The following is a 21,654-nucleotide window of genomic DNA, read 5'->3' as shown; positions in this document are numbered from 1 at the left end:
CATAGCAGAACAAACATGAAAGACTCAGCTCTCAAGAATTTGTAATCTAGCAAAGGAGGTAAAACATATTCACCAATTAACTGTAATACAAAGTAGAAAGTGATCCATGTGATGGGAGACGTGATGAGATTCATGCAACCAAAGGAAAGATTAGTCTATTATACTCCTAATGTTGCAGGCCCTTGATATTTGTTTAATGTACCAAATGAGTTAAGATGAACTTGGAAGAACATGAGACTGGTTTTTCATGGAGGTGGTGGGGTATTGTGGAAAGGGAGGGTGTTCCAAACAGAAAAACAGCATGATGCCGGCACCAAAGAAAATAAAAGGTAATGGTATTTATAAGAATCTGCACAACTTTGTTTACTGGGCATATAAAATGTGGAAAAAAACTGAAAGATGAGGTTAAAAAAATAAGTTGGGAGTCATACTGAGACAGCCTTGGATGTGACTTCATCCTGCATGTATTTGAAAATGAGAAGTATGCAGTAATTTGGCAAGTGTTGATACAATCAATTAGTATGGGAATCAGAAAGCCATCACTTAATGCTTTCTACTATTTCCTTGTTATAAGTGCACCTATTTAGGTGTTTTAAAGTATCTCAAGGACATATATTTGCACTACAAGCGTATTTACAGGTATTAGCTATCCTCCCCTCAGTAGTATGTCAGGAGACCAGCTAAGAAACTGCAAGAGTCCAAGGAAGAAACAAACAACATGAGCAGTTCAACTAGGGCAGAGAAGACTATATGGCATTGAGACTGCAGGAAAAGAAAGAACTGCATTTGTTCAGCCCCAGATGACAGAAGACAGAGAAGCGATAAACAGAAATAAGCAATAACAGAGGCAACTTTGGGGATAGGCAACACATTAAGTTCTTAACCACACTGAGTTTGCAGTGCCAAGGGGATACCCAGGAGGCCATAACCAGCACAGAAGAGAACAGAAAATGCCAGAGTTGTCAGCTTGTTAAAAAAGGTGGCAAATCATCCACATGAAGGTTAATGGAATTGTACATAAAGAGAAGAGGGCCTGTAATCCCAGCACTTTGGGAGACCAAAGCGGGCAGATCACGAGGTCAGATTGAGACCATCCTGGCCAACATGGTGAAACCCCATCTCTACTAAAAAAAAAAAAAAAAAAAAAAAAAAAAAAATTAGCTGGGTCTGGTGGCGCATGCCTGTAATCCCAGCTACTTGGGAGGCTGAGACATGAGAATCGCTTGAACCCAGGAGGCAGAGGTTGCAGTGAGCCGAGATCGTGCCACTGCACTCCAGCCTAGGCAACACAGCAAGACTCTGTCTCAAAAAAACAGAAAGAAGAAGAAGGGAGAAATCAAGGGAGTAACATCAGAAAACAGCAGCATAAGAAGCCAAGAAAAATGATGCACCTAGAAAATTGTGTCTATATACTCTAAATCAGGGGCTGGCACATTTCTTCTGTAAAGGACTAGATAATAAATATAAACAAAAGAACAGGGTCATGTTCCAATGTAACTTTACTTATGGACTCTGAAATGTGAAAGTTTTATGAAATTCAAGTGCCATAAAGTATTGCTGTTTTTTTCCCCACCTATTCAACTGTAAAATCTTTTCCTACTTCACAAGCCACAAAAATATAGGTGACAGGTCAGATCTGGCCCGGAAGCCACAGGCTGCCAACTCTTGCTCTAATTTCAAAGCAACAAAAAGGATAAGAGGCTGAATTAACTGTCACTTTCCAAACCCAAGGGTAGTTCTTCCTTTAGACAAATTGATAACTTACCAGACATTCATTTGACTAATTCCTTAAGTAAGGATTCCCCTAAGAGGTAACTACATGTGTTGATAACACGTCTTAAAAATATTGCCTTCCACTAAAAACAGATAAACTCATGAGTATATTGGAAATTCTAACACAAAGCTAAGAACATTAAATAGGAAAAGTCTGATAATCAAATTGCAACAACTTTTTATAACATGAGTAATCACACAGTATTTTATCATTTGTTCTCTACCCTTCCTTCCACCTTCATGTTAAACCCCATTATGGTATTCCAGGTTTCTTTTAGATGAGTTAAACATGTAGTAGTACAAACACAGCAAAGGCACTAGATGAAAAATATTACTTCAGAATTTTCCCGTCATTGCTTTTGAACTCTTAATTTTTTGAAACTGATTTTATAATCTAAAAGGTTAGAAGATTCAATAGTCTGCATATAATACTAGATATAACCTAGATTTTTAAAATCTAGAAACATCAGTATTGAATGTGTGAGTCATGAATTAAGAAAAAAAATTAGTGCAAAATGTCAACTTCTGACAAGCAGTCTTCATACATACAAACCATATCTGGTGAGGAAGGACTCCTTACCCCCAAGCCATTCCTTGTACCTTAGCTGTAGCTCAGGGGCAGGAACAGGACTCCTTCCTTCTTCAATAGCTTGCTGCGGCAATAAGCTGTAACCCAAGAAAATTTAATACCAAATGAAAGTATAACATTGTTCACAGGGTCAAGTCTTCCATTACTAGGTAACTATTTTAAGTTGCCTGGTTTCAAGCAGATAAAACACAAAGAGAGATTATTAAAGATACAAGGCTAAGCTGTTTAGGGAGGGCCCATGGGAAGAAAAAAAAGACCACTTGACAGCTAGATGTTTCCGTTTGAACTGATGTCTCCCACCAACACACAGCAGAAACTTCACTATTTCCTAGTTATCAAATGCTTGCCAAGCAAACTACAAGGACCTAGGGTTGACCTGACTCATACTTCAGTTTATTAGCACCCTCCATCTCCAAAGGGTATCTAAAATACAGGCACTTCATAGGCATTACTTTCAGAACATCCTAACTTGAATAGAACTCTAGAACAAATACAAAACTTTTGCCAGGTGTTCTAATCAAAAAAGGCTTGCATTTAGAGAAAAACTCTTCATCACTCTACCAGAAAACCAACTGTTTTCTACATTTTAGGAACTGATTATACTTTTCTATATTCAAATTAAACCAAGTCAGAACTCAAACTCAGATTACACAAAACTCCTTACCCTACCAAAGTACTATTTCAATGAGTTATCTAAATGTAAAATATAATCTGCGTTGAGTATTAAACATAAAAATTACTGTTTGTTTTAATAAGAACTTAAGATTTCCAAAATAGCTATCTTCTTTATTCCTATTAGAAAAACATATGAAGATATATATATATAAATGCTATCTTATTGTACATGCAATGGAATCATTTAGCAAGTGAATTAGTTATTAAGCCATTAACCTTTAATTCTTCATGTAAAAATTCCTGAACGCCAATGAGAAGATTTCAGGAAAAGTATTATCCCAGGGCTTTCATAATCTATGCCAACTGTGAACACCTTCTGGGAAAAGGGCACGAGACGTAATTAGCGTTCCTAAAGTAACCACAAAATACTTATGTATTGCACAGATTTCTTTCCTCAGATTTCTTCTTCCTGTATACCCAAGGCATAAAAAGTGTCTACAAAGTTTCATTTTTTTCCTAAGCTCCTCTACATTATACAGTATGCGGCTTTACCATTCATGTATTGGCACTTCAGTCTTTTACCTAACTGAAATACCAACCTTTAAAATCTAATTATCAAGTGAAACCAAAGGGCTTCAACCATTTTCCCACTCACAAGAGAGCTCACTCACCAAACACATGACCCCTTCTCCTCATCTACCTCAAAGTTCTCATTGCAGGGGGGGCAGGGTGGAGGTGGATATAGACCTCACCATCTCACAGGCAATCCATTTCTTTTTCCATTGTCAGAGGTCTTCCTCACACTGAAATGAGGCTACCTGGGACTGCAGCCTTGGTCTCTCCTTTGCGGCTATGTCCTTTCACATTACAGCCTTTGAATACTGTGTTTTCCAGAAGTGAATAAAACTCTCTTGATGCTATCTGATATGGGTGTAACAGGACTTTTAAAATCTTTTTATTCCAGAGACTCTTCTATAAATATGAACTAAGACTGGTCTAAACAACTGGTTTTTCAAATTGCTTGTCACCTTTAAAGGCCTAGTTTCACAACATCCATTACTTTACCGTCATATTTCAGAATTTAACCACACTTTTACCTACTTTTCACGCTAAAACAGAAAATAGAAATAACTTTTTTTATATACACACTTTTTTAAAAATCAAGCTATATGGTACTTGAAAATAAATTTCTTCTTAGAAACACTAGTTAACTACATTCCTAAATGCCCAAACTTGGAAGTACAAAAGTAGATACTCATAATCAACTTCTACTTGCAAACTGAGAAAAACATAGTATTGGAATTTCTGGGTGACTAATTGTACAACTGTATAGTTCAATATGACTGACTCTACATAATACACTCTGAAATCTTTCAATGGGCATTCCCGCAACTGACTTTGCTACAATCCAGATACTGTGACAGCCAACACAGGGCCTGTATTTTAAATTTTAAAACTTTGCAAGCTCAATTTAAAGGAGTCAAGCTAGGGTCAAAAAAAAAGTAATGAGGACAGGGAGGAGTTAATATTCTCCAAACAGACTAAGAATGCTCTCCAGGCTGAGTACTGCGGAGAAAAAACAGGAGAGCAGCTCTGGGAGTCCAAAGGCTGGAAAACTATAGTTTCTTAACTTCCATATCCGCTGTTAAAGTTGCCTAACACAGCATTTTCCTCAATTCCAAGATGCACAAATGATTTGGGGAGGAAAGGAAAATACATCATATTAAAGGGGTAAAGAGGTATACACTTAAGAATCTAAAAACGTGGAAGATACGCAACTTTGAACTGAGGAGCTTCAATACCCTTCTTGCAACAGAAGCACAAAGTGCCTCGGGTTAGAACTGTGGTTTCTCCAAGGCCTGCTACCGGTGTGCAAGCTCACAGTCGCATTTTTCATTTCATAAGCCTAGAGTTAACTTTTTAAATTCGTTTCCCCCCAAACATTCATCCTATTTTAGAATCCTATTTTCCTAAACTGAAAGCAAGCAAACTGGTCTAAAACCTGGAAGTCTTTGTGTTTGTGCCACATTTACAAGCTACAGATAGGTTTTTGAACAAATAACTGAGAAGCTATTGTTTAATATTACTTTATTTAGGTCAAGGATCTCCTCAACATAACTTCGCCATTGTACATAAGTCACCACTGTTACAACCTTCTATCTACTGCCATGGGGCCTCTTTCTCCAAGAGGCAGTTCACCTTTATTATCTACTTTCTAGGGCTTTTTTTCTTTTTTTTGCCCCCCTTCCCTCATGCGAAGATTTCAAGGAAGGTTATTTATTATTTTAACCAAATTACGCTCTGTTGATCTGAACTAGAGTGAAAAATGGGTGCTCCACATCCAAAGGCTATGTTATTACAGGACATAAAAAAAAATGGTAAAAGAAATACACTTAATACTTGCAGCCATGTTAACCAAGATACTTGGCAACTATGGCAAAAACAAAGGGGAGGGCAAGTCTTCATTTCAAAGGTTTCAAAGGGTTACAGAATGAGCAAATATTATTGCCTACAGGTTGCCTCTTTCAGTGTCACCTGCTACCTCCCCAAGACAAGGAAAGTAAACAAAAGGAATTTCAGTAACGAATTTCCCAGGTTCCACATTCCCTAAAACACGTAAGTTGAAGGGAGGGCTTAAACAACTTCCACCTAATTAAAAATCTTCCCTTTTAATAATGCTTTGTTTTCACTGCTCCTATCCTTTCGGAGTTACATATGCTGGTAAGCAAGGAGGAGGGCCAAAAGGGATATTCAAGAGGCTGAACAGATACTATCTTAACTTCTTCCAAATCCATGAAGAACAAGCTGGGGGACACAATGGCATGCCTGGCCAGGCTGTCTGGACCTCATAGAGAGGCACTGGCGTCCCTTCCCAGTTAACAATATGCAAAGCACACTTCCTAACAATCTCCCGACGCTCCGTGATTGTTAGTTTATCAATTGAGCTTAAGTTCAACCAAACTTGGTAATACTCCTCGCAATTGACCTGGAGCCTAATTTCAAACGTAAAAATGCGTCCACTCCTCTAGCGCTGTAGGAAGCTGTGCTTACAAAGTTCGGACGTGGTACAATGATTTTTGTTTTATTACACCTGGTGGAGAAAAAAAAACATAACACCAAACTACGTTACCGAATTCCGAATTCACGGGAGAATGGGGATTTCGGCGACGACTTGAGGAGTACATGACCCAGGACAGAGGACGAAGTGAGCTGCCTCCGGGCCGCGGGCCCCTGTCCTTGGCCACGCCGTCACCTGAAAGGGGCCGCTGGTTCGCTTAGCATCCCTCCAAACCTGAAATCCCCTACCTCAAGATCAATCAAAAGCAGGGGGAAGAAAGTGTCTTCTGGAGGCGCAAGAAAGGCCACAACTTGGATGAATGAAACTGGGCTAAGGGCACCCGGAGCGGGATTTTCGCTGAAGTCAGAAAAAGAAAAGTCAAAAGATTTTTTTTTAACATGAGAGCGATTGCAAGAGACTGGAATACAGACAACGGCACAAACAAGCTTTGGAGGAACGCTTTATTGGGCGCGGACGTTCCGGGCGGCCGGCGGGCGCTAGAGCGGAGGCGGTCGGCGGCAGCCGGCGGGCGGCGGAGCGGGACGGACCAGGCGGCGGCGGCGGGGCCGGCGACGAGGCAGCTTCACGACTGGCGGGGACGGGCCGGAGTCGGGCTGGGCGCCCGCGCGTGTCCTCCCGCGGACCTTCCACTGGACTCCCGCGGGCCGGCGCCGGGATCGGGGTCGGGGCCCGCTCGGTCCGCCCCGCCCCCCGCCCGGCGGGCCGCTTGCGAGGCACACCCTCCCGGACCGCGCACACGCGCAGGCACACCCCCGCCTCCCGCGCGCACGCGGCCGGGCCCGGCCGGCCCACGCGCGCCCCCTTCCCGCGGACGCCCGCCGCCCGCCCGCCGCCCCGGCCTCCTCCGAGGAGTGCAGGAAGGCCCGGGGTCCCGCGGCCAGGGCGCGCGGGGGACGGCGGCCTAGCGGCAGCGGGGGCGCCCGCGCGGGAAGACCGGCTCTGAGGGAAGGTCACTTACCCGCTGCATGGCTTTCAGGATTAAAGCCAGCTCGTAGCGGGGCATGCCTGGAGGATCGGCGAGTGCGGCTCGGAAGCCAGCCGGTTCCCGGGACGCGAAGGGGCGGGACGGCGGGGACAGTGGGGACCTAGAAACTGCTGCGCCGGACGGCTCCCAGGCGGCGAAAGCACGGTCCGAGAGCGCGAGCCCGGGCTTAAAGGCGCTGGCAGCTGCGCAGACGCCGCGCCACGCCCCCTCGGCGCGCCCCGCCCCGCCCGCGCGCCTTGCCGCCGCCCCGCCCCCTCTCCGCCCGCGGGCGGCCGCCACGCCCCCTCCGCAGCCCCGCACCCGCCGCACCGCCCCCGCCCCGACCCCAGCCCAGCCCGCCGGCCGCGGCTAGGGGCGGTGCTGCAGACGCGGCCCAGAGCGGCTCGCGGCGGCCGCACGCCCCCTCGCGACCCTGCCTGCCCCTACCCCGCCTCCTGCCATGCCTGCTACCTAGCTCTCGAACCGGCTGGAACTTTCCATGCCTTCCTTCTCCTCCCGGGCGGCGGGCGAGTGAGTGCCCGCCAGTGCGCGTGCGCTGCGGTGCGGTCTCGTCCGTGCGCGTGCCCCTCGCCCGCGACTCCCCGGAGCTAGGGACCTTCGCGGCGCAAGGCGGGGTCGCGGCCGGCCCGGGGGCTGTGCGGCCAACGGCTGCTCGCAGGGGTTCTGGAACATTCCCGCCCGGGGTCGGTAGGGGGGTGCAGCTCTCGCCCCCAGCCACAACTCTCAGGTCTGACGCGGCTGACCAGGCCCCCTACCCGGCGAGGAGCGCGCTGGCACAGGCCGTGGGCCGCGGCGCGCGGGCTCGGGTCTGACTCAGTCCCTTGGCACTGCGTGACCTTGGGCCTGCTGCCTGTGCCGAAAGTGGGGACCCGAGTGAGTTACTGCACGTTAACCTCCGAGGACGGTGCCTGGTACACACAGGCGCGATACGGGCATTTGTGGTGTGCCCCTGACCTGCCCCCACGTGTTTCAGCGGAGGGCAGGCGAACACCTTAACTCTATCTCATTTCTTTAAATGTTTCCTCCGCTTTCACTTAAAGGCTAGGCTGAGTGCCTGGGAGACCCTTTAGCAACTGTCTAAGGTGGGCAGGGGCATACGTTCTGCCCTTGCCATCCCTTTACACCCACATGGTTCTCCGCCCTCCAGCCAGGGGCTCTGCAAGTGCAGTTTTCTCCAGCGCCCTTCCTTAGAGGTTGAGTACCCTGCAGCTGAGGCCTCTGCCCCTTGTTTGCCCCATTAAAAGCTCTGTACGTGGAGTGTTTGTCAACTTAAAGTGCTTTAACGTTAATAGGTAAAGTTTAGTGAACACTTACTCTGCATCAGGCCCCATGCCAAGGCTGGTGGATGTGTCTCCTAAAATTCTCACAACAGCCCTGAGGTGACAAAGATTCTTTGCTTGGCCAAACTTTAGTCAGGCTTCTGAATCTCATGCTAGGCCCATCTGTGCACTTCCTTGTAAAATCCAGTTCTAGCACAGAACCCCCATCCCCTCATAGCAGATCAGGTTCCTCATCTTCCTCTATCCCCCAGTCATGTCTTTTCACCCTGGCCTGAGTTCTACAAGAATCCTTTAGATCGGTTGAGCCAGAATCCCTCTTCCCCCGATGGTTACTCTTAGTGATTTTACATGGCCATAAATTTCTACTTGCCGACGCTGCATTCAGAATTGGAGCCCACTCTCTCTCCCCGGGTTTCCCTGATCCCTGTACCCATCGCGTTGGTCCTGAATAAAGTCTTTCTTACCATGCTTTAGTAAGCATCACTGAGTAATTTTTTTAAACAGAGGCAAGCACTGTTAACCCCATATTAGGGATTAGGAAATGTAGGCACAAAAAGTTTTGTAACTAGTCCAAGGTCATACAGTAATAGAAACAAAGTACTTTTAGCCGCCCCTCTACCCTTCTGACCTCCGGTTCTCCTACCACACAGATGAAGATGCTGATTGTTATTCAGTGGATTAACCGTGTAGTCCACGTAAGCCAAGATTAGAGTACCTTTGTCACCTTACCCAGAGGTTACCATTTCACATCCCATGCGTCTATTTGTGACATATGGGAGGTAGGAGATGGAGATGAACCCAAGTTTTTCTGAGATAGCTGGATTTTAACATTTTCTATTTTTAGACTTGTCTACAACCCATACCTGTGTGAAGCCACACAGGTAATCCAAATTGCCTGGCTAAGTGTCAATTAACTTCATGTTTGGTTTAAATAAGTAGCGTACTATAAATAACAGAAGGAAACAAGGAATTTCTGGACCTTCAGAAGTGAGTTACAGGCTGGGTGCAGTGGCCCACGCCCGTAATCCCAATACTTTGGGAGGCTGAGGCGGGTGGATCACCTAAGGTCAGGAGTTTGAGACCAGCCTGGGCAACATCGTGAAATCCTGTCTCTAATAAAAATACAAAAATCAGCTGGGTGCGGTGGCACTTGCCTGTAGTCCCGGCTACTCGGGAGGCTGAGGCAGAAGAATCGCTTGAACCCAGGAGGCGGAGGTTGCAGTGAGCCGAAATCGCGCCACTGCACTCCAGCCTGGACGACAGAGCGAGACTCCATTAAAAAAAAAAAAGTCAGTTACAGATTTTCTAGAATGGTCCCACCCCGACTGTCCCCTGTCTTGTCAATTACATGACCCAGTTTAGTAATGAGAAAATAAAGACCCCGTAGTAATATGCCAAGTCAAACACTGAGGCGGCGCAATGAGCTGACTTCAACTCAGAGCATTTCCTCTTGGAAGCTCTTTAGTTTTCCCTTAATGCCCAGGGATGAGTGAAGACCTGGCATCTTCTCTACTCCTTCTAACTTGACAAGTGGTATAAGGAAATTAACCTGACTGCGTAATACCTCACCACAGAGTCAGCATCCCCAAGCCCTCCCAGTCTGGTAGCCACCCACAGACTCATTCCATTTCTTAAAAGCAGAGAGAGGGCAGCTACTGTGATTTTCCCCCTTCAACCTTTTTTTAACAAGCACAGAAGCGGCCGGGTACGGTGGCTCACGCCTATGATCCCAGCACTTTGGGAGGCCAAGGCGGGCGGATCACCTGAGGTCGGGAGTTTGAGACCAGCCTGACCAACATGGAGAAACCCCGTCTTTACTAAAAATACAAAATTAGCCGGGCATGATGGCACGTGCCTGTAATCCCAGCTACTTGGGAGGCTGAGACAGGAGAATCGCTTGAACCTGGGAGGCAGAGGTTGCAGTGAGCCAAGATCGTGCCATTGCACTGCAGCCTGGGTAACAAGAGCAAAACTACATCTCAAAAAACTAAATAAAAAATAAAAAAGCACAGAAGCAGAATGCTTGTGGCTTCATTTAAAAAAAAAAAGATTTTTTTTAAATCACGAGGAATGCTGTTGCAAATTTAGTGTCTTCCTACTATAACTACAAACTTAAATTCACCAAAACAATTTTTAACTTTATACTATGTATAGTCAGCATAATAGAAATATATTACTGCAGCATTTGATATATTAATTTAAAAATGACTCTCTTAGATTCTCCAAAACATTTATTATGGTATGTGTTTAAGATTTGATTAACCAGAAGTTTGATTAATTTTCAAGTAAGTTTTTTTGAGGGGGAATAGGAAAGAAGAATAAGAACAGAAGTTGAAATCCAGCCCTATTTGTAAAAAAGGAACCTCAAGATATGCCCTGGGTCAGTTTAATCACCTTTACCTTCTTCTTTTATGTTGCTGTATAATGAGACTTGACCTTGAGCTTTCAATCGTTAATCCTCAAAGATGGCCATTATTTTTATTACTGAGTCTAACATTTTGAGCATTAACTATGAACCAGAACCTATTTTAAATTATTTGCATGTATTAACTCTCAGTTCTTACCACAAAGATATGTATTATAACTGCCCCCATTTTACATATAGGGAAAAGGAGACTTCATAAACATCTCAGCAACTTGCCCCAAATTATGCAGAACTCAGAGCCTGCACGCTTAACCCCAATACCATACAGCATTATGTTTACCAGCCAGCGCAAACTGAGCAACTATCTGTCGATCAACCAACTTTTATTGTAGTCCTACTCTGTCCTCTTCCCTGGGTGATGGCAGTCTCCCACTCCTTGCACCCATATAATGCCCTCCCTTAAGTGGCCAAATTCTCCCCTTGCACAGACTTCTTCCTGCTGCCATGAAGCATATATAGGTCTCTTCTAGCTAGGGGGAAGAAAAACCTCGTCATAACCCTGTTACCCTCTCAAGTTGTCATTCTTTTCTTCTTCTCACAGCCACATATCCCCAGACCCACTGCATCTTCCAGCCTTTGCACTCTGTGTTCCCTCACACTGTCACCACTGGCCTTCCATTTGTCCACCAAGTAGTTTCCCTGGCATCATCGTCAGGGACCTCTCTGCAGTCCTGAGGGTCTCTTCTTGGCCATCCATGATCCTGTACTCTTGGGGTTTTCCTTTGTCTCCTTGGTCCCTGTGTCTGGCTCCTTTTTCCCCTTCTGTCCCTGAATGCGCTGTTCTGCAAAGCAAGGAGGTGTCTCAGCAGCAAGGATTTAAGGCAAGACTTGCCCATAACATGAGTTCCCATGATCCAAGTGCATTGGAGTTTGGCTCTAAACAGCCTTAAACTGATCTTTCCTGCCAGAATCCCGGTTTACCCTAACAGTACAGGTGGGCAGTGGAAAGTGAATAAATGAGTGATCTCCTTGTCTGTAGATAAGGAATCTGATACAAAAACAAGGTACATTATTTATCCAAAGCCATAGAGCCCTGGGGTGGCACAATTCAAAGAAAAAACTTTTGCTTGCCATATTCTTCTTAGGCATGCACTGCGTGCCATGATGCCATGATGGCAGTTTTACTGTTGCTAATGGATTAATCCATTGTGAGTGTGATACTCCTGTATTCTAAAAGGTGAGTTCTTTTCTTTTTTTTTTTTTTTTTTTTTTTTGAGACAGAGTCTCCCTAGTAGCTGGGATTACAGGCACCCGCCACCATGCCCGGCTAATTTTTCTACTTTTAATGGAGACGGGGTTTCACCGTATTGGCCAGGCTGGTCTTGAACTCCTGACCTCAAGTGATCCGCCTGCCTCGGCCTCCCAAAGTGTTGCGATTGCAGGCATGAGCCACTGCACCTGGCCCTAAAAGGTGAGTTCTAACAGTCATTGGGAAGAGGTAAGATAAGCACAAATCATCATTCTGCTTAGGTAACCTTGTGTCTCTAAATACTGCCCCCAGAAAGTGGCGAAATGTGACTGTTTCCAGTTAATGGAGACAGTGATCCCAAGGTAGCACCAAATCATCTGTTAAGCTGTCAGTCATCACTCTCATCAGCCTGTCATCTTCTCCTAGATAAAAGTGAGCCTCCATTCATGGTAAAGTATACTCCAACTCCCCAATTTTGCATCACTAAGTCCTGGGATTGTTCCCTAACTGACTCCTAGGACCTGGGCCTGTAAAACCCCATTTATTTGCCTTGCTGCCCTGTATGTATCTGTGTTCCTCAGCCAATGGCCCAAATGCAAGTCACATTTCAAATGTATTTCGTTTGTAACTTTTATCAGTGAAACCGCTGGTATTTCCTGATCCCCCTACACTCACCCTCACCCACCTTTCAGACCTTCTTGGCCATGCCCATTTGCTTTGATTCTTCTTTTTCTTCTCCATAAGCCCCCAGGTGCTACATAGGCTAATTTGTACCTCTCTAACTCTGTCAGCTTGTAAGTGCTATTGGTTGTGTTCCTTGCACAATGGAATACTGTATGGAACTTCTTAGGGCGGACATTTGGAGAGCTCTTTAAACATTTTCTTTCTTTTAATCCACCAATTTCATGATTATTTTTCTAACTTTCATCAACGGTGGGGGTGTGGTTCAACTTGGGCTCTACTTATAAGAAAAAAGGTAAAGGAAAGATTGCCTAAATCTCATGTTCTCTTATTCCCAGCCCCATCTCACCCTATCCTGCCAAAAAAAAATTATGGGATGTTTTTGAGAGATATTCTTCTACTACAATATCTTTTTTAAGAAAGAGAGAATTTTTTTAAAAACTCTTATGACTTTAAAAAGACAAAATACTGCTTGCATCACTGCTTGCTGAAAGAGTTTTTCCTAATAACAAGATTGTAAAGTGTCCCCCAACAGGCCCACAAGTGTTCTTAATGTTAAATGTCAATGAAATTGGAGGTATTAAACAGCCTCATGTTCTTTCTCCACGACTGCAAAATCAGAAGAACACATGTGGAAGCATTTTAGATTTAGTAAAGGGAACAAAGGCCAGGCACCAGAGACTGCTGCGGTGGGCAGGGGTCTCCAGGGGCTGGGCCTCCCTGGCCAGGCGCTAAACAAAGGTCCTCGGGAGGACCCCGCAAAATCAACTGGGGGGCAGTCCTCAGGGCCAGGCGGGGAGAGCTGGGTGAGCCAGGCCCACTCAGCATGGAGTTTTAAGGCTGGAGATGAAAGGACAGAAGGAGATGAGGCCCAGAAGGCTTCAAAGGGGGCAAGCGTGCCTGCTCTGGAATGCAGAGGAGGGCGTTGTGGTGGCTGCAGAGAGGAGCGGTGGAGACCAGAACCACAGGGCTTGGCGACTGCTGAGATGTGTGAGGGGCAGCTCATGGGGCCAGTGTCAACTACGGTCTTGGGTTTCTTCTCCAGAAACATTCTTGACCAACTAGCCTTTGTTCTGGCCACATGCACCTTTGGTATTTCCACAGCTCCTAATGTAAGGCTTCTATTACACTTCAATTCATTAGCATTTCTTCTTGGATGTTTTATTTTCATCAGTCTTCATAGCAACATGATCATCTTCTGAGGAGCTGAGGTAGTAACTCTTATTTCTCTAATAGTCTCTTAATTCGGGGCTTTAACCAAGAGGAGGGGGTCAGTCCCAAAACCTTCACTGGGTCCCCACCTAAGTGTCATGACACTGCCAGGCAACACTTCCTGGTAAGACAGTCAACATGCAGGTGTCATCTCAAAGTCCAGCCATCTGTGAGGCTCATGCCACCCCCTGTTGCTGGGACTGACTGGACATGGTTCTGTTGATCTACATGGGAGAATGCCCTCGTGATCATCAGCCATGGTTGAAAAGAGACCCAGTAAAAGAAAACAGAAAACAACCCATTTTTTAAACATTTTAAATGAACAGACACTTCATCAAAGATGGGCCAATAAGCACATGAAAAGATCTTCAACATCAGTTATTAAGAAAATACAAATTAAAACTGGAATGAAATACCACTGCATACCTATTAGAATGGCTAAAATTAGAAAGACTCAAAACACCAAGTGCTGGTGGGAAGATGGAGCAACTGAAACATGCACTGCTTATGGGAATGTACATTGTGTGATCATTTCGGTAATTTCTTGCAATGTTATACACAGACCTACCATGTGACCAGCCATTGTACTCCTAGATATTTATCTAAGATGAATGAAAGCATGTGCCCGCACAAACACTTGTACACAAATGTGCACAGCAGCTTTGTTTGTAATAGTCAATAACTGAAACAACTCAAATAACCATCAACAGGTGAATGGAAAAACAAATTGTGATATACCTATACAATGAAATTCTGCTCAGCAATAGAAGGAATGAACTGTTGATATATTCAACAATATGGATGAATCTCAAAATAATTATGCTTAGTGAAAGAAGCCAGACAGAAAAGAGTACATACTAAATGGTTCTATTTATATACAATTCTAGAAAATACAAACTTATAGTGACATAAAATGAATCAATGGCTGCTTGGGGTCAGAATGAAGTAGAGAGATTATGAAGTGGCATAAGGAAACTGAGGGCGTGATGGATATATTTATTATCTCGATTAGGGCAATGGTTTCATGGATTATATATACACATATCAAGTTGTATACATTAAATATGTATGGTTTATTATACATCAATTATACCTCAAAACTGTAAAAATATAAGTCATTCACATCATTATGCTCAGAGGAAAGTCATTTTGGTTTGTCTGATGTACATCTATCTTCATCTTCCTCTGTTTCCCCTTCCCCAAATTCCTGGATAAAAGGATCAAGATCACACCCACTTCTGGTATTCAAGTCAATTAAGACAAAACAAACAAAAAGTCCCATTAAGTTCTACAGGAGATGCAAAGAAGTATAAGAAATAGTTTACAGGAGATGCAAAGATGCGTAAGAAATCTAGGTAGCAAGAGAAGATATAAATGTGTTTACAGTTAAATTGTCCTAACAAGATTGAAATATCTATTCTAAAAAATAGAAAACATATAAAAAAGAGTGTGATTAACTGTCTAATCAAGATTAAGGGCAAAAATTTCCAGAGAGGGATTACTTTGAACTGGGATGGTTCAGGAATGTTTCATGTATGATGTGGGACTTAAGCTGGAATGTGAAGAATGGATAACATTTTACAAATAAGAGGAAAGAGAATGAGCACAAGATGTTTTGGTGGGGTCAGAGGGTGGTGACATGGGGTGAATAAGTTTGACAGGAGGAAAGTTTTCAGTAAGAGAATCACGGGACTCAACTCTACAAAAGTGAGACCAAAGTGGGAGGGACTTAAGCGCCAGGCAGTGTCTAAACTCCCAGCCTTGATTTCATCTTCACATGAGGAAGAACTTGGGAGATAGTCAGCCTTTCATCACCAGAATCATTCAGCAGAGTGTGTGCGCATGTGAGGGAAGTAGGAAAGGAGCTAACTGTTGAATAGACAAGTCCTTCCCAATTCTGAGCCACTGGTCACAGATTCATGGGCTTCAAAAGCATCTTTGCAGGTAGCACAGGACATTTGTCTCATAGCATCTTGGTTCCTCTTGGAGGTGGTGCCTGACTCTCATACCAGAGTCAACAGAGCCAAATTTTCCCCTTTCCTACCCTACATTTAGTCAAGGAAGGGAAGACATTCAACTGCGGCCAATCAGACTCTTCCCCCATGCTTTTGAATCCTGAGTGGACAACATGAGGAACAGTTAGAGTCACTCATGATGTTGGCCAGACCGTTGCTGCTCCATGCCTGTGGCTTCCAATCTTCCTGGTTACCAGCCCTCCAGAGTGCTTTTGGCTCCTGGCCAGTCCCCTGGTCTCTAGTCCATTCTGTGATTCCCCCAAATATCATTTCAATAAATTTCTTTTTTGCTTTACACAGAGTCTGTTTCTGTAGCTCATAGCCAAGAACCCTGACTGACAGAACTCTTTGGGTCATAGCACTTCAGTTTCCTGCATAACCTATTGGTCTTAGTTCAGACCCCTGGGGCCGTATGGCACAAGTCTACTCCCTCTGTCACATGAGCTCCTGTGTCTGAAGACAGTTTTATAGTCTATCCTGAGCCCTCCCTTCTCTGGGCTAAATGTTCCCTTGTTCCTCCACCTTGTGAGATGGGTACTCCTCATCTCACATGGGCTAAGTTGTTTCTGCAGCCTGGGTGCTTTTTCCAAGAGTGCACAACTGCCCACATTTAGACCATTTGTGACTCAATAAAAGTCATTCCTTTTTTGTTTTCCCATGCAAAGACTATATTATAGCCAGGGTACTGGTTCAGCTACTGAAACAAAAGTCAAAGTAACAGTGACTTAAACAAGACTTTGTCTCTCGTGGAAAGATCTGAATGTAACCAGGGCATGGGACTCAGGCTTTTTCCAGCTTGCTGTCTATTTACAAGACATGGCTTAAATCTCATGGTTCTTTATGGCTGTTCCGCTCCCAGCACCATGTTCACATTCCAGGAACAGTATGGCAAAATAGAAAAAAGACTTGAGTAATTCCCTTTAAAGAAGTGGCCCAGAAGTTGAACCCATCACTTACACTCATATTCCATGGATCAGAACTTTGTCCTTCCTGTGGACCTGCCTTGCCTTCAAGAAAGGCTGGGAAATGTAGCTTTACGTTGCAGAGTACGGTAAACTAGCAGTCTATGCCATAGACCATATAATGCAATTTGGATATCACCCTATAAGTTATTCTAAGTATAATAAGATGTTATACAAGTCAAAAATGGTTAGTTGCCTATAACTTTCTAACACTCAGTCATTGTTGGGTATTTTGCAGTGATTATCAGGCTAGAGTTACTGAAAGAGTTGAGTTTTAGGTAAGCTTGATTTTTTGGGCTTACCAGGGCACATGCCTTGGATCAGTCCCTGTACTCTGAAACCCAAAGGTCAGATCTGCACTGGAATTTTCCACTAATTGAGACAACTAAGTAGCTCTCTCGAAAACAAAACTCACAAGATTGCTTTACACAATGAGTTTAATATATTTTCAGGCGTATTAGGTAGAATTCTGTGGGTTACAAATAGTAGAAACTGACTCTAGATAAATTATTATAAGTGTACCGGATGTCTCCCAGGACTCGAGGCAATATGCAGCTGACAGTCTCAGGAACTGACTAGAACCAAGATGCTCTCCACATTTTTTTTCTGTTTCTCTGCCAGTCAGCTTTCTTCTCTCTCTGAAAGGGCCCTTTTTCTCTGCTCTCCCATCTGCACAATAGATGATAGCCATTCTCAGCTCCTTGGTCTACATATAATCCCTCTAAACACCAAGGGATACTCCAAGGCTCTCCTTCAATTGGCACTTGATTAGCCTAAACTGGTTCATTGGTCCACCCTTGGGCCAATCAGCCAGGTCTAAAGAGTAGATCAAATCATATCACTGTGGCTGCTAATAACTACCTCTGAACCCTACAAATTTGGGAGGTTATAGCTAAGGAGAAACAGTTTGCAGCAAAGGGGAGGCTAGACAGGCAACCAATGGGTACCATGGGTGTCTCCTCCATTCATGCATGTGTTGAGAGTTGTCATAATTTTAGAAATGTAGCTGTGAGCTCTGTGACACAGAGACACATAGAAACATAAGGGGGTTGGAGGAGAAACTGTCTTCCTCAGGGTTTTTTGGTCATAAGTAATAGAAACCTGTCCAAAGGTTCTGCTATGGTTTGAATGTGTCCTTTGAAAAATTCATGTGTTGCCAATGTGATAAAAGGTGGGGCCTTTAAGAGATGATTAGGCCATGAGGGCTCCTCCATCTAGAATGGAATTAGGTGCCCTTTTAAAAGGGCTTGATGGAGTGAATACACCTTGCTTGCCCTTCTGCCTTCCACCATGTGAAGACACAGCATTCCTCCTTCCAGAGGATGCAGCACTCAAAAGCACCATCTTGAATGCAGAGAGCAAACCCTCACCAGACAACTGAACCTTCCAGCATCTTGATCTTGGACTTCCCAGACTCCAGAACTATGAGACAATAAATTTCTGTTCTTTATTAAACTTCCTAAGACATTTTTAGTGCATTTGAAATTAAAATATATCTGATTCTCTAAAACACTTCAACCTGATATGGCAAACTCATAAACCTGACAAGATCTTTCTAAGCCTTTAAGCGATTATTGAAATTTAATAAATCTAGGGAATGAGCTTCTCTTAAGCTTCATGGTGGATAAGTATCGACTGTTTTCTAGTGTTAATTCTCCCCTCTTTTCCTTTTAGCTAAAACCCTTAAGCTTTAACTAGTTGCATGACCACACAACCACAGACTACATTTCCCAAGCTCCTTTGCAGCTGGCTGTCACCATGTGACTATGTTTGGGCCAATGGAATATGAGCAGATATGATGTGTGCTACAATGAGCGCATCTCCTTAAAGACACTTGCCATAGACTTTCTTCTTTCCCACTTCCCGTTGATGTGGTAGTGAGCCACCATCAACCATGCTTATGAAGATAACACCCTAGGCCAAGGGAGAACCAAAGGAGAGAAGGAACCAATTCCTTAGAAGACCTCAAATCACAAGGCTGCTTGGCCTCCAGCTCTGGACCATTTCACTACTGACTGTTAACAAAAAATGAAATAAACTTCTATCATCTTTGAGCCATTACATTTTGTGGTTAGATTGTACCCCAATAATACAACTTCCAAAGACTGTCTACAAATTCAATTAATTATATCCTCTTAAATGTTTCAAATTAAAATTGCAAGTGTAATATGCCAGGCTGTCTACTATGTTAGATTTTCTTCCATGTTCCAATCTCTTTAAATAACCAAAAGATTATAGTGATGATTTAAAAATTATTCCTAACCTTACCACAAAAAGAGTGTGTCTTCCTCCATTTTTTGCTGCTATAACAGAATGCCACAGACTAGGTAATTTATAATGAATAGAAATTTATTTCTCACAGTTCTGGAAACTGGGAAGTCCAAGATCAAGAAGATAGCACCTGGCAAGGGCCTTCTTGCTGTGTTATCCCATGGCAAAAAGTGGAAGGGCAAGACAGAGGCCAAGGGGGGGCCAAACTCATCCTTTTGTAAGGAACCCACTCCCACAATAATAGCATTAATCCATTCATGAGGGCAGAATCAAAACCAGAGTATTGTCATATTTTATTGATTCTCATATTGAATCACCCTCTCATTAGGCCCCACCTCACAACACTGTTGTATTGGGAATTAAGTTTTCATCACACTTTTTTTGGGAGAGACAGTTAAACTAACTAAAGCAGAGTGCTATATTTTGTTGAATCTAAGATATAAGATTCAACTTTTTTTTTAGGATATCACTAAGGTAGAAAAAACACAAACATTTATAATTTTTTGGAAATTTTCAACTTTTATTTTAGATCACCATTTATAATCATATGGTGCCATTGATTTCTTTCTTTTCTTTTTTTTTTTTTTTCCAGACAGAGTTTCACTCTTTTGCCAGGCCAGAGTGAAGTGGCACAGCCTCGGTTCACTGCAACCTCCATGCCGCACCCCCCAGATTCAAGCTATTCTTCTGCCTCAGCCTCCTGAGTAGCTGGCATTATAGGGTGCCCACCCCATGCCCAGCTAATTTTTGTATTTTTAGTAGAGACAGGGTTTTGCCATGTTGACCGGGCTGGTCTCAAACTCCTGACCTTGGGCGATCCACCTGCTTCAGCCTCCCAAACTGCTGAGATTACAGGTGTGAGCCACTGTGCGTGGCCTGATGCCATCGATTGTAAAATGCATTCTAATTCCCAAGATGGTAAAATGTAAAACACTGTGCACCTTAGAATCAGTAAAATATGATAGTATTCTGGTTTTGATTCTGCTCCTCATTGATTCTACACTAGTCTCTACATTTTCCCAGGGTTGCAAAGTCCCTTACCCAACTGAGGGGAAGAGAGTTGCTGTCTCCAGTGAACTGAGTCTACTGGTGGCAGATTCAGGACCTTGACTCAGTTACAAATTCAAGTTCTTGGTAGAGAAGTAAACACCAAATCTGGACACAGGTGCTTTGTACTTCCAGAATGATTTTGCCTGAGCAGCCATGAATACTGGAGTTGGAATAGTAGAGTTGGAACTTGTCAGCTGTGTCAAGAGAGTCCCTCTGTGCCCACATCTTTGCCCTGGGATTTAGTTTCATAACAGTGTATCATGTGTTTTCTGGGTGGCTTTCAAATTTCACCTTATGTCAATCTTAATTGAAACCTCTGTCAACTTTTCATCACCTGATTTGAGTGGGCAGATCCTACAAATACATGCACACTTTCACCCATACATACACACACCAGGCTAATCTCTTTGCTGAAAGATTAGGATTCGTTGAATGAGTGCTATTTGCAACACTCTTTATATTTTCGCCAATCTCATTGGCCATCATTTTGTAATTATTACATTAAAAAAGTAAAAACAAGGATGTATCAAAGGACTCAAGAGTGCATCCTAGAATCCAGTAACAGAACGTACATCCAGGGCTCCTGGGGAACTAGACAAGACATCCTTGGTTTCTCTGGGACTACATGTATCTTGTCTCTGCTCTGCTCATGAAGTGTCTGACATCACCCCACCCTCCCCATGCCATCTTGTCTGTTTGGAGACAAGCACTCTCTGCCTCTACATGCCCACCATGGAAGATGGCTAGCCCATAGCCCAGGTATCCTGAGGACACACATGCCAAGTTCAAGTGACAGCAGATACCACCATCTCTGATCAGGAGGAGGAATCTCACTTGACATCCATCTTCAGATCCATCTGAATCCACGAGAGTACAGTGATGGCATACAAATTCTTGCTTCCAAGAGAAGAACTATCCAAGAGAATTGTAGGCAGAGCAGGTCTCACCAAAGGTGGCTAGTTGGCAGCAGTACAGCTTGGTGGTCAAGAGCATGGAGCCAAAGCCAGACCGCCTGTGTCCAATGACTGTGTACCCTTGAACAAGTAACTGAACTCTGTGGTTCAGTTTCCTCATCTGTAACATAATCAGACCTAAGGCATAGGGTCGTGTCCAATATACCACACACAATACACGGAAAGTACAGTGCAGCCTGCAGTGTGGGAAGTGCTTAATAGCGGTTTGCCATTATTGCTACAAAGGCCCAATGCTTTAAAAGAAAAATTGATTCAGATCACCAAGCTCTGCTTGACTCTTATTCCCCAGATGTCCCCTCTTTCCACAGCTGGGGAAACCTGACTCCACTTGAAGGCTCAGTGGCACTCCAGGAGCTGAGAAGAAGCAGATCCTAATGAGCAGAAGGGATGTAAGGAGCTCTAATTTGGCTCTAACACAGTGCCCGGCTCCATCAGTGTTAGCCTGCAGCACATAATGGGTTTGCAGTGCCGTGAGGCTTCAGTAGAATGTAAGCTCCAGAGAACAGGGCCTTGGTCTAATCATGGTAAGGTCCTGGCCCCTGATACAATGCCTG

At 44.0% G+C, this 21,654-nt stretch overlaps 2 protein-coding genes across 2 annotated transcripts in view, besides 6 other annotated features; both read right to left on the bottom strand.

The window, feature by feature from the left end:
- MRPS6 (mitochondrial ribosomal protein S6) overlaps positions 1–7,182 on the bottom strand; it is a 69,453-nt gene extending 62,271 nt beyond the window's left edge. Inside the window, exon 1 of the mRNA NM_032476.4 lies at positions 7,015–7,182. Within this exon, the coding sequence (NP_115865.1) occupies positions 7,015–7,059 (45 nt within the window). The 5' untranslated portion in view covers positions 7,060–7,182. The remainder of the gene's footprint in view (positions 1–7,014) is intronic.
- SLC5A3 (solute carrier family 5 member 3) overlaps positions 1–7,182 on the bottom strand; it is a 32,683-nt gene extending 25,501 nt beyond the window's left edge. Inside the window, exon 1 of the mRNA NM_006933.7 lies at positions 7,015–7,182. The gene's annotated coding sequence lies outside the window, so the exon portion shown is untranslated. The remainder of the gene's footprint in view (positions 1–7,014) is intronic.
- Positions 6,321–7,271: an enhancer, noted in NCBI's record as "H3K27ac hESC enhancer chr21:35445789-35446739 (GRCh37/hg19 assembly coordinates)". NCBI's record gives its function as "activates a minimal SCP1, AML or CMV promoter by ChIP-STARR-seq in naive H9 embryonic stem cells {active_cell/tissue: H9 hESC(naive)}" and the evidence as "EXISTENCE:reporter gene assay evidence [ECO:0000049][PMID:30033119]".
- Positions 6,321–7,734: a biological region, named in NCBI's record as "H3K27ac hESC enhancer GRCh37_chr21:35445789-35446739".
- Positions 6,525–6,924: a silencer, noted in NCBI's record as "silent region_13267". NCBI's record gives its function as "represses an Ori minimal core promoter by ATAC-STARR-seq in GM12878 lymphoblastoid cells {active_cell/tissue: GM12878}" and the evidence as "EXISTENCE:reporter gene assay evidence [ECO:0000049][PMID:35858748]".
- Positions 7,215–7,734: a silencer, noted in NCBI's record as "silent region_13266". NCBI's record gives its function as "represses an Ori minimal core promoter by ATAC-STARR-seq in GM12878 lymphoblastoid cells {active_cell/tissue: GM12878}" and the evidence as "EXISTENCE:reporter gene assay evidence [ECO:0000049][PMID:35858748]".
- Positions 12,582–12,683: a silencer, noted in NCBI's record as "fragment chr21:35440377-35440478 (GRCh37/hg19 assembly coordinates)". NCBI's record gives its function as "represses an EF-1alpha promoter that drives an FKBP-Casp9 reporter gene in an ReSE screen in phorbol 12-myristate 13-acetate-treated (for megakaryocytic differentiation) K562 erythroleukemia cells {active_cell/tissue: K562(+PMA)}" and the evidence as "EXISTENCE:reporter gene assay evidence [ECO:0000049][PMID:32094911]".
- Positions 13,440–13,956: an enhancer, noted in NCBI's record as "H3K4me1 hESC enhancer chr21:35439104-35439620 (GRCh37/hg19 assembly coordinates)". NCBI's record gives its function as "activates a minimal SCP1, AML or CMV promoter by ChIP-STARR-seq in primed H9 embryonic stem cells {active_cell/tissue: H9 hESC(primed)}" and the evidence as "EXISTENCE:reporter gene assay evidence [ECO:0000049][PMID:30033119]".

The sequence above is a fragment of the Homo sapiens genome, chromosome 21 (assembly GCF_000001405.40).
Source record: "Homo sapiens chromosome 21, GRCh38.p14 Primary Assembly".
NCBI lineage: Eukaryota > Metazoa > Chordata > Mammalia > Primates > Hominidae > Homo > Homo sapiens.
Note: the sequence above shows the minus strand (reverse complement) of the source record. Positions and strands in the feature narration are given on the sequence as shown.